The sequence below is a fragment of the Homo sapiens genome, chromosome 5 (assembly GCF_000001405.40).
Source record: "Homo sapiens chromosome 5, GRCh38.p14 Primary Assembly".
In the NCBI taxonomy this organism is placed as follows: Eukaryota; Metazoa; Chordata; class Mammalia; order Primates; family Hominidae; genus Homo; species Homo sapiens.
This window is the reverse complement of record NC_000005.10, coordinates 99,033,036-99,044,996: the sequence shown is the minus strand read 5'-3', so window position 1 is coordinate 99,044,996 and position 11,961 is coordinate 99,033,036. Positions and strand designations below refer to the sequence as shown.

At 39.6% G+C, this 11,961-nt stretch overlaps 3 annotated features.

Annotated features, from left to right (window-relative positions):
- Positions 6,562-7,225: an enhancer, noted in NCBI's record as "H3K27ac-H3K4me1 hESC enhancer chr5:98373476-98374139 (GRCh37/hg19 assembly coordinates)". NCBI's record gives its function as "activates a minimal SCP1, AML or CMV promoter by ChIP-STARR-seq in primed H9 embryonic stem cells {active_cell/tissue: H9 hESC(primed)}" and the evidence as "EXISTENCE:reporter gene assay evidence [ECO:0000049][PMID:30033119]".
- Positions 7,226-7,890: an enhancer, noted in NCBI's record as "H3K27ac-H3K4me1 hESC enhancer chr5:98372811-98373475 (GRCh37/hg19 assembly coordinates)". NCBI's record gives its function as "activates a minimal SCP1, AML or CMV promoter by ChIP-STARR-seq in primed H9 embryonic stem cells {active_cell/tissue: H9 hESC(primed)}" and the evidence as "EXISTENCE:reporter gene assay evidence [ECO:0000049][PMID:30033119]".
- Positions 11,514-11,573: an enhancer, noted in NCBI's record as "active region_22840". NCBI's record gives its function as "activates an Ori minimal core promoter by ATAC-STARR-seq in GM12878 lymphoblastoid cells {active_cell/tissue: GM12878}" and the evidence as "EXISTENCE:reporter gene assay evidence [ECO:0000049][PMID:35858748]".

The following is an 11,961-nucleotide window of genomic DNA, read 5'->3' as shown; positions in this document are numbered from 1 at the left end:
ACATTTTGTATATAAAGGCTTGAGTCACATTCATAAATGAACTATTGTTTTATTTCTTCTTAGGACATTTGCAAAGTTAGGATTAAGGCCAACTGAAGAAAAGTTGATATATTTCCTCTAAGACAGTATCACTCATTTGTGTGCTTCCACCAGTGAAGGGTGGTGCTTTGAGACATTACAATGTCGCTGAACTTTCCTCCAGAGCTAAGAAAGAGCAGAAGTGGCTCACACACCACCCAATTATTCCTATTCTATTAAAAAATTGTTTCCCTATAGAGTACATTCTATTTACTAACATTTGCAGAAACATGTAGGAAAAATTAAATATGAAGCACTCTTTCAAGAAACACAGAAAAGAGGGTATCTCAGTCTGTCTGAGCTGCTATAACAAAATATTATAAACTGGATAACTTTAGGCCAGGCGCAGTGGCTCGAACCTGTAATCCCAGCACTTTGGGAGGCTGAGGTGGGCCGATCACCTGAGGTCAGGAGTTCGAGACCAGCCTGCCCAACATGGCAAAACCCTGTCTCTATTAAAAATACAAAAATTAGCTAGGCATGGTGGTGCATACCTATAGTCCCAGCTACTTGGGGGGCTGAGGCAGGAGAATCGCTTGAACCCAGGCGGCGGAGGTTGCAGTGAGCTGAGATGGCACTGCTGCACTCCAGCTTGGGTGACAGAGCAAGACTCCATTTCAAAATAAACAAATAGGATAACTTATAAACAACAAACACTTACTTCTCACAGTTCTGGAGGCTGGAAGGTTCAAGATTAAGGTGCTAGCAGATTTGGTATCTGGTGAGGGCTTGCTTCCCTTCATGAGGGCTCGGTGATCAAGACTTAATCATCTTCTAAAAGACCCCAACTCTTAATACCATCACTTTGGGGGTTAGGATTTCAACACAGGAACTTTAGGGGACACAAATATTTAGTCTGTAACAGTAGACAAAGTCTTTCAACATCACCAGCTTCAAGGTAGATACCAGACTTTGTGATCAATTTAAATATCTTTTAGGCCCTTCCTTCCTCCTGTTTTAATCTATTTCAACAAGACTTCTTCCTTTTGGCAGCTGACGATGTTAACTGCACTCTTGCCTAAATTGCTTTAAGCACTAACATCTTGTATTTAACTAGCTTATAATCCTTAGGAACCTCAAGCCCCCACCCAGTGTTTGCCTTGAGAAAATAATTCTCCCTGGAGAGAGATTCTTTATTATTATTATTATTATTATTATACTATAAGTTCTGGGGTACATGTGCAGAACATGCAGTTTTGTTACATAGGTATATGCGTGCCATGGTGGTTTGCTGCACCCATCAACCCATCACCTACATTAGCTATTTCCCCTAATTCTATCCCTCTCCTAGCCCCGCACCCGCTGACAGGCCCTGGTGTGTGATGTTCCCCTCCCTGTGTCCATGTGTTTTCATTGTTCAACTCCCACTTATGAGTGAGAACACGCAGTGTTTGGTTTTCTGTTCTTGCGTTAGTTTGCTGGGAATGATGGTTTCCAGCTTCGTCCATGCCCCTGCAAAGGACATGAACTCATTCTTTTTTATGGCTGCATAGTATTCCATGGTGTATATGTGCCATGTTTTCTTTATCCAGTCTATCATTGTTGGACATTTAGGTTAGTTCCAAGTATTTGCTACTGGGAATAGTGCCACAATAAACATACGTGTGCATGTGTCTTTATAGTAGAATGATTTATAATCCTTTGGGTATATACCCAGTAATGGGATTGCTAGGTCAAATGGTATTTCTAGTTCTAGATCCTTGAGGAATCGCCACACTGTCTTCCACAATGGTTGAACTAATTTACACTATCACCAACAGTGTAAAAGCATTCCTATTTCTCCACATCCTCTCCAGCATCTATTGTTTCCTGACATTTTAATGATTGCCATTCTAACTGGCATGAGATGGTATCTCATTGTGGTTTTGATTTGCATTTCTCTAATGACCAGTGATGATAAGCTTTTTTTCATGTTTGTTGGCTGCATAAATGTCTTCTTTTGAGAAGTGTCTGTTCATATCCTTTGCCCACTTTTTGATGGGGTTGTTCATTTTTTTCTTGTAAATTTAAGTTCTTTGTAGATACTGGATATTAGCCCTTTGTCAGGTGGCTAAATTGCAAAAATTTTCTCCCATTCTGTAGGTTGCCTGTTCACTCTGATGATAGCTTCTTTTGCTGTGCAGAAGCTCTTGAGTTTAATTAGATCCCAGTTGTCAATTTTGGCTTTTGTTGCCATTGTTTTGGTGTTTTAGACATGAAGTCTTTGCCCATGCCTATGTCCGGAATGGTATTGCCTAGGTTTTCTGCTAGGATTTTTATGGTTTTAGGTCTTACATGTAAGTCTTTAATCCATCTTGAGTTGATTTTTGTAGAAGGTGTAAGGAAGGGGTCCAGTTTCAGTCTTCTGCATGTGGCTAGCCAGTTTTCCCAACATCATTTATTAAATAGGGAATCCTTTCCCCATTGCTTGTTTTTGTCAGGTTTATCAAAGATCAGATGGTTGTAGATGTGTGGTGTTATTTCTGAGGTGTCTGTTTTGTTGCATTGGTCTATATATTGGTTTTGGTACCAGTACCATGCTGTTTTGGTTACTGTAGCCTTGTAGTATAGTTTGAAGTCAGGTAGTGTGATGCCTTCAGGTTTGTTCTTTTTGCTTAGGATTGTCTTGGCTATGCAGGCTCTTTTTTGGTTCCATATGAAGTTTTAAAGTAGTTTTTTCCAATTCTATGAAGAAAGTCAATAGTAGCGTGATGGGGATAGCACTGAATCTATAAATTATTTTGGGCAGTATGGCTATTTTCACGATATTGATTCTTCCTATCCATGAGCATGGAATGTTTTTCCATTTATTTGCATTCTCTCTTATTTCCTTGAGCAGTGGTTTGTAGTTCTCCTTGAAGAGGTCCTTTGCATCTCTTGTAAGTTTTATTCCTAGGTATTTTACTCTCTTTGTAGCAATTGTGAATGGGAGTTCACTCATGATTTGGCTCTCTGTTTGCTTGTCATTGGTGTATAGGAATGCTTGTGATTTTTGCATATTTATTTTGTATCCTGAGATTTTGCTGAAGTTGCTTATCAGCTTAGGTAGATTTCGGGTTGAGACGGTGGGGTTTTCTAAATATACAATCATGTCATCTGAAACAGGGACAATTTGACTTCCTCTTTTCCTACTTGAATACCCTTTATTTCTTTCTCTTGTGTGATTGCCTTAGCCAGAACTTCCAATACTATGTTGAATAGGAGTGGTGAGAGAGGGCATCCTTGTCTTGTGCCGGTCTACAATGGGAATGCTTCCAGCTTTTGCCCATTCAGTATGATATTGGCTGTGGGTTTGTCATAAATAGCTCTTATTATTTTGAGATACATTCCATCAATACCTAGTTTATTGAGAGTGGTTAGCATGAAGGGCTGTTGAATTTTCTCAAAGGCCTTTCCTGTAACTATTGAGATAATCATGTGGTTTTTGTCATTGGTTCTGTTTATGTGATGGATTATGTTTATTGATTTGTGTATGTCAAAACAGCCTTCCATCCCTGGGATGAAGCCAACTTGATCTTGGTGGATAAGTTTTTTGATGTGCTGCCAGGTTCAGTTTGCCAGTATTTTACTGAGGATTTTCGCATTGATGTTCATCAAGGATATTGGTCTGAAATTTTCTTTTTTTGTCGTGTCTCTGCCAGGTTTTGGTGTCAGGATGAGCTGGTCTCATAAAATGAGTTAGGGAGGATTCCCTCTTTTTCTATTGTTTGGAATAGTTTCAGAAGGAATGGTACCAGCTCCTCTTTGTACTTCTGGTAGAATTCGGCTGTGAATCTGTCTGGTCCTGGACTTTTTTTGGTTGGTAAGCTATTAATTACTGCCTCAATTTCAGAACTTGTTATTGGTCTATTCAGGGATTCGACTTCTTCCTGGTTTAGACTTGAGAGGGTGTACTGTCCAGGAATTTATCCATTTCTTCTCGTTTATTTGCGTAGAGGTATTTATAGTATTCTCTGATGGTAGTTTGTATTTCTATGGGATCAGTGGCGATATCCCCTTTATCATTTTTTATTATTTCTATTTGATTCTTCTCTCTTTTCTTCTTTATTAGTCTGGTTAGCAGTCTATCTATTTTGTTCATCTTTTCAAAAAAAAAAAACAGCTCCTGGATTCATTGATTTTTTTGAAGGGTTTTTTGTGTCTCTACCTCCTTCAGTTCTGCTCTGATCTTAGTTATTTCTTGTCTTCTGCTAGCTTTTGAATTTGTTTGTTCTTGCTTCTCTAGTTCTTTTAATTTTGATGTTAGGGTGTCAATTTTAGATCTTTCCTGCTTTCTCTTGTGGTCATTTAATGCTATTAATTTCCCTCTACACACTGCTTTGAATGTGTCCCAGAGATTCTGGTACACTGTGTCTTTGTTCTCATTGGTTTTGAAAAACATCTTTATTTCTGCCTTCATTTTGTTATTTACCCAGTAGTCGTTCAGGAGCAGGTTTTTCAGTTTCCACGTAATTGTGCGGTTTTGGGTGAGTTTCTTAATCCTGAGTTCTAATTTGATTGTACTGTCATCTGAGAGACTGTTTGTTATGATTTCCATTCTTTTGCATTTGTTGAGGAGTGTTTTACTTCCAATTATGTGGTCAAATTTAGAATAAGTGTGATGAGTTGCTGAGAAGAATGTATATTCTGTTGATTTGGGGTGGAGAGTTCTGTAGATGTCAATTAGGTCAGCTTGGTACAAAGCTGAGTTCAAGTCCTGAACATCCTTGTTAATTTTCTGTCACATTGATCTATCTAATATTGACAGTGGGTTGCTGAAGTCCCCCACTATTATTGTGTGGGAGTCTAAGTCTCTTTGTAGGTCTCTAAGAACTTGTTTTATGAGTCTGGGTGCTCCTGTATTGGGTGCATATATATTTAGGAGAGTTAGCTCTTCTTGTTGCATTGATCCCTTGACCATTATGTAATCCCCTTCTTTGTCTTTTTTGATCTTTGTTGGTTTAAAGTCTGTTTTATCAGAGATTAGGATTGCAAGTGTTGATTTTTGTTTGTTTGTTTGTTTTTCTTTCCATTTACTTGGTAAAAATTCCTCCATCCCTTTATTTTGAGCCTACGTGTGTCTTTGCATGTGAGATGTGTCTCCTGAATACAGCACAGCAATGGGTCTTGACTCTTTATCCAATTTGCTAGTCTGTGTCTTTTAATTGGGGCATTTAGCCTGTTTACATTTAAGGTTAATATTGTTATGTGTGAATTTGATCCTGTCATTATGATGCTAGCTGGTTATTTTGCCCATTAGTTGTTCCAGTTTCTTCATAACATCGATGGTCTTTACAATTTGGTGTGTTTTTGCAGTGGCTGGTACCGGTTGTTCCTTTCCATGATTAGTGCTTCCTTCAGGAGCTCTTGTAAGGCAGGCCTGATGGTGACAAAATCTCTCAGCATTTGCTTTTCTGTAAAGGATTTGATTTCTCCTTCTTTTATGAAACTTAGTTTGGCTGGATATGAAATTCTGGGTTGAAAATTCTTTTAAGAATGTTGAATATCGGCCCCCACTGTCTTCTGTCTTGTAGGGTTTCTGCAGAGAGATCTGCTGTTAGTCTGATGGGCTTCCCTTTGTGGGTAACCCAACCTTTCTCTCTGGAAGCCCTTAACATTTTTTCTTCCATTTCAACCTTGGTGAATCTGACAATTATGTGTCTTGGGGTTACTATTCTCGAGGAGCATCTTTGTGGTGTTCTCTGTATTTCCTGAATTTGAATGTTGGCCTGCCTTGCTAGGTTGAGGAAGTTCTCCTGGATAATATCCTGAAGAGTGTTTTCCAACTTGGTTCCATTCTCCCTTTCACTTTCAAGTACACCAATCAGATGTAGATTTGGTGTTTTCACATAGTCCCATATTTCTTGGAGACTTTGTTCATTCCATTTCATTCTTTTTTCTCTAAACTTGTCTTCTCACTTTACCTTATTAAGTTGATCTTCAATCTCTGATATCCTTTCTTCCACTTGATCAATTCAGCTATTGATACTTATGTATGCTTCACAAAGTTCTCGTGCTGTGTTTTTCAGCTCTGTCAGGTTATTTATGTTCTTCTCTAAACTGGTTATTCTAGGTAGCAATTCATCTCATTTGTTTTTGAAGGTTCTTAGGTTCTTCCTATGCAAGGTTCTTTCTTGCATTGTGTTAAACATGCTCCTTTAGCTCAGAGCAGTTTGTTATTACCCACCTTCTGAAGCCTGCTTCTGTCAATTTGTCAAACTCTTTCTCCATTCAGTTTTCTTCCCTTGCTGGCGAGGAGTTGTAATCCTTTGGAGGAGAAGAGTCATTCTGGTTTTTGGAATTTTCAGCCTTCATTGGTTTCTCCCCATCTTCGTGAATTTATCTACCTTTGGTCTTTGATGTTGGTGACCTTTGGATGATGTCTCTGAGTGGATGTGCTATTCCTTTCTTTTTGTTAGTTTTCCTTCTACCTTCTAACAGTCAGGACCCTCTGCTGCAGGTCTGCTGGAGTTTGTGGGAGGTCCACTCCAGACCCTGTTTGCCTGGGTATTACCAGTGAAGGCTGCAGAACAGCAAAGATTGCTGCCTATTCTTTCCTCTGGAAGCTTCGTCCCAGAGGGGCACCTGCCAGATGCCAGCCAGAGCTCTCCTGTATGAGGTGTCCTTCAGACCCTACTGGGAGGTGTCTCCCAGCCAGGATACATGGGGGTCAGGGACCCACTTGAGGAGGCAGTCTGACCCTTAGCCGAGCTTGAGCACTGTGCTGGGAGATCCACTGCTCTCTTCAGAGCCAGCAGGCAGGAACATTTAAGAATGCTGAAGCTGCACCCACAGCCGCCCCTTCCCCCAGGTGCTCTGTCCCAGGGAGATGGGGGTTTTATCTATAAGCCCCTGACTGGGGCTGCTGCCCTATTTTTCAGAGATGCCTTGCCCAGAGAGGAGGAATCTAGAGAGGCAGTCTGGCCACAGCTGCCTTGCTGAGTTGCGGTGGGCTCCACCCAGTTCCAACTTCCTGGATGCTTTGTTTACACTGTGAGGGTAAAACCGCCTACTCAAGCCTCAGCAATGGCAGATGCCCCTCCCCACACCAAGCTCAAGTGTCCCAGGTCGACCTCAGACTGCTAGGTTGGCAGCGAGAATTTCAGTCCATGTTAGCTTGCTGGGCTGTGTTGGGGTGGGACCCACCGAGCCAGACCACTTGGCTCCCTGGCTTCGGCTCCCTTTCCAGGAGAGTGAATGGTTCTGTCTCGCTGGTGTTCTAGGTGCCACTGGGGTATGGAATAAAAAACTCCTGCAGCTAGCTTGGTATCTCCCAAATGGCCGTGCAGTTTTGTGCTTGAAACCCAGGGCCCTGATGGCATAGACACTGGAGGGAATCTCCTGGTCTGTGGTTTGCAAAGACCATGAGAAAAGTGCAGTATCTGGGCTGGGGTACACTGTTCCTCAGGCACAGTCCTTTACGGATTCCCTTGGGTAGGGGAGAGAATTCCCAGACCCCTTGCGCTTCCTGGGTGAAGCAACGCCCCACCTTGCTTCAGCTCACCCTCCGTGGGCTGCACACACTGTCCAACCAGTCCCAATGAGTTGAACCAGGTACCTCAGTCCAAAATGCAGAAATCACCCACCTTCTGTGTCGATCTTGCTGGGAGCTGCAGACCAGATCTGTTCCTGTTTGGCCCTCTTGCCCAGGAGGCTGATAACCCAAGAGATTCTTTCCTGAGTCCTCTTCACTCACAAATTGTAAAGAATTGTATACCTACATGATAGGTTTACAAACATACCTGTCTTTTTTTTCTAATTAGTAGATAATTATCTTATTCACTCTATTCCTTATCACATATTCACATTTTATTCACATATTCATTCCATTCTTTATCAGTTCAGTACTTCATTTTCACCAAATAGTTTTTGGCTTTCCATAGAAAAGTTAAGTTTTCGAGGACTCAAATATTTCTTTTTATTTTGTCATGTGTGTGCAAAGTGTGTGTGCATGTATGTGTATGTGCACACTACTTCAAAGTAGATTGAGGAAGAGAGTATGTATATGCTTTTTATCATAATATTTTAATTATAAAATTTATATACTTCCACCTGGAACTATAAAAATCCTGGAAGAAAACCTAAGGAAAACTCTTCTGGACATTGGTCTACTCAAAGAATTCATGATTAAGACCTCAAAAGTGCAAGCAACAAAAACAAAAATAAACAAATGGGACTTAATTAAACTCAAAGGCTTCTGCACAGCAAAAGAAACAATCAATAGAGTGAACAGACAACCTGTAGGATAGGAGAAAATATTTGCAAACTATATGTCTGAAAGAGGGCTAATATCCAGAATTTACAAGGAGCTCAAACAGCTCAACAACAACAATAACAAAACAACCCCATTAAAAAGTGGGCAAAGGACATGAACAGACATTTCTCAAAAGATATACACATGGCCAACAAGCTTATTGTTAAAATGCTTAATATTACTTATCATCAAAAAAATGCAAATTAAAACTACAATGAGATATCATCTTACACAAGCCAGGATGGCTATTATAAAAAGTCAAAAAACAACAGATGTGGGTGAGGGTGTGGAGAAAAGGGAATGCTTATACACTGTTGATGAGAGTGTAAATAAGTACAACCTCTCTGGAAAATAGCATGGAAATTTCTCAAAGAACTAAAAGTTGAATTACCATTTGATCCAGCAATCCCACTACCGGGTATCTACCCAAAGAAAAAGAAATCTTTATCTTGAAAAGATATCTGTACTCATGTTTATTGCAGCATGGTTCACAGTAACAAAGACTTAGAATCAACCTAAGTATCTGTCAATGGATGAGTAGAGAAACTGTGGTATATGTACATACAATGAATGACTAGTCAACCATAAAAAAGAATGAAATCATCTTTTTCAGTAGCATGGATAGAACTGGAGGCCATTATATTAAGTGAAATAACTCAGAAACAGAAAGTCAAATACTACATGTTCTCACTTACAAATGGTAGCAATGTAACATGTACACATGGACATAGAGTGTGGAGTAAGAGACACTGGAGACTCAGAAGGATGGGAAGGTGGGAGGGGAGTGAGGGATGAAAAGTGGCTTAATAGGTGCGATGTACATTATTCAGAAGATGGTCACACTAAAAGCCCCAGACTTCACCATTATCCAAAATATCCATGTAACAAAACTGCACTTGTGCCCTTAAATTTATACAAATAAAAAAAGTTTTAGATGTACATACTTCTGATAGAAAGTAGATACAAAATCACCCATTATTTCATAATCAAAGAGTAATAAAATTACAATGTATGTCTTCTCAATATGTTTTTATATATGCATTTTTAACTTAATTTGTTTTAAAATTTTTACCAAAAAAGTCATATTATATAAATTTTAGCCTATTTTTCCCTTAGTAGTACATTATAATATTTTCACATATCAAAAAATATTATTCTATAATATGATTTTAAAGGAATCATAGTAATAATGGTGTTTTTAAGTAATTGAACAATATTCATCTTATGAGTAACTCCTTAGAGATAAAGCAACAGAAAGAATCCATAACAGCAAAAAGTGTAGTGAGCTTTTTATTTGTTTTTACATATCAAAGTAATTTTTGCCAAATGCCTACTGTTTGTCTTTTATGTACTGGGAAAACAAAGATAAGTTTTTAGAGCAGTTATAAGATAGGTAAGTTAGTCAAATATTATGTGATGGGTACTAAGACAGAGATAGTCCTACGCGGTACAGGAACACAGAGAAGAGGCCTCTAAGTAAGAATGAGAGTCACCTGTAAAGTGACACTAACTAAACTATTGAAGGACAAGGGGATTGGGAATTGCAGAACAAACAGCATAAGTAAAAGGACTGCCTAGAAACAGTCAATCATTAATTCACAAACTGGCTTGATCATAAAAATCAGTAGAGACTGCCAGGCACAGTGGCTCACGCCTGTAATCCTTGCACTTTGGGAGGCCGAGGCGGGTGGATCACCTGAGGTCAGGAGTTTGATACCAGCCTGGCCAACATGATGAAACTCTGTCTCTACTAAAAATACAAAAAATTAGCCGGGCGTGGTGGCGGGCACTTGTAATCCCAGCTACTCAGGAGGCTGAGACAGGAGAATCACTTGAACCCAGGAGGTGGAGGTTGCAGTGAGCTGAGATCACGCCCCTGCACTCCAGCCTGGGCAACAAGAGCAAAACTCTGTCTCAAAAAAAAAAAAAAAAATCAGTAGAGACATAAGCCCCACTCCTGGAGATTCCAATTTAATATGTTTAGGGTCAGGCCAAGAATCTGCATGTTTAATATGTCCCCAGAAATTCTTACATTCAGTCAAGGTTAAAAAACAATTCTAGTCCCTCCAACTGGAAACCTGCTTGTTTTACAATATAGCAGTAAGGAAGTAGCCATCCCTGAAGCTTGGAAAGTGGCCAAAGACAGAATGTGTGGGTTAAGCCTTGAAGTTTATCCTGAAAGATAAAGGACTGAATCTGAGTTTGCAGAGCAGATTAGCATTTTAGAAGGATCACTCTGTAAGAAACGGAGTATGATGTGTAAGGAAACCTTTTGAGGAGGCTAATGTAGCAATTTAGGTGAGAAGTCATTAAGACCTTAATTTAAAAAGTGGTTATGAGTTTAGGAAAGAGGAGAACAAGAGATACCAAGGAATTAAAAGCCACAGGGATTAGGGATTGATTGAGTATAAGTGAGAGTGACCTAGGAAGACTCCCAGGGAAGTGGATTGGGTGACTGGATAAGAGATATGCCATTTATGAAAATGTGGCATTCAAGTAAAGCGCAGGTTTGAAATACATAAGTTCACTTTTAGATATACTGAATTTTATTGGAAATTCAATCGTAGGTTCCATCGCAAACTCAAAACGAAGATTTGGCAGGAGGAAGTTTGTAATATAACAGTGATCGAAGTTGAACCCATGAGGAAGATAACACTTACTGTTTAAGCAGAAAAAAAGGGAACCTACAATGGAGACTAAAAAGAATTATCTTTTTTCTTTTTAAGGAAAGAATAATGCCACAGAAAACAAAGGAGAAGGACTCCAGAAGGAGAACTGCTACCGATAAATCAAACAAAATAAGGACAAAGCAAAGTTCCCTGAACTGTGCCTTATGGAATTCAATGGTGCAGGTATCAGGAGCATCTCCTCTGCACATGTTTCTGGTGGGCTTGGCCAATCAAATGTTTCCTTCCTAGGAGCTAAATCTTAAGTGGTGACACAAGGAGGAAAGGTAGTTGAACCTTAGTAAACATACATGATTATGCATGTCCACGGTTTCATTTCAGTGGTCCTGTACTTTCTGCCCTCAGGAAGCTTGACTGTTTAGTATTTTCTTCTGTTCTGCATTATACCAGTATATTTCCAATGAATATCATTTTTTCCATAAGTTGTTCTCAATTTGTTTCTTTGGCTTATAATTAGAGACCCAAAACTGCCAAGGTAATTTTACTTTTGCTTTCATTTTCAATAAGACAAACCACTGTTCTGTTTATTTTCTGAAGTAAAACAGGAAAGAGGGCGATGATTGATATAATAAAGTCATTGAGTACACAGAAGAGGATGGAATCCAATCTACAGGTTGAGAAATGAGCCTCGAGTTAGATGGGCACCTTTTCCAACAGGAAGGAGAAGTAAAAATGCCAATAAATAAGCGAATAAGTAAGAGGGAGAGGAAGGTGCCGTTTTCACTTTCTGCCCTTGCCTTTTCACAATGAAAAGGACAGAATCATCATTTGCTGAGTGTAAGAAGAGTTGGTGGTTTTGACAGTAAGGGAAGTAAATGTTTGGAATACCCACTGTCAGTTGATCAGAAGCACCTTCACCATAACTGAGGACTCAGCCTTGGTCAGAAAGCAACAACATACAGTGACATCAATTGGTATGGCTGTGTGATTTTTCTCCAAGAACTCTCAGCTGCTCAGTTCCAGAGTCAGAGAAACAGGATGGCT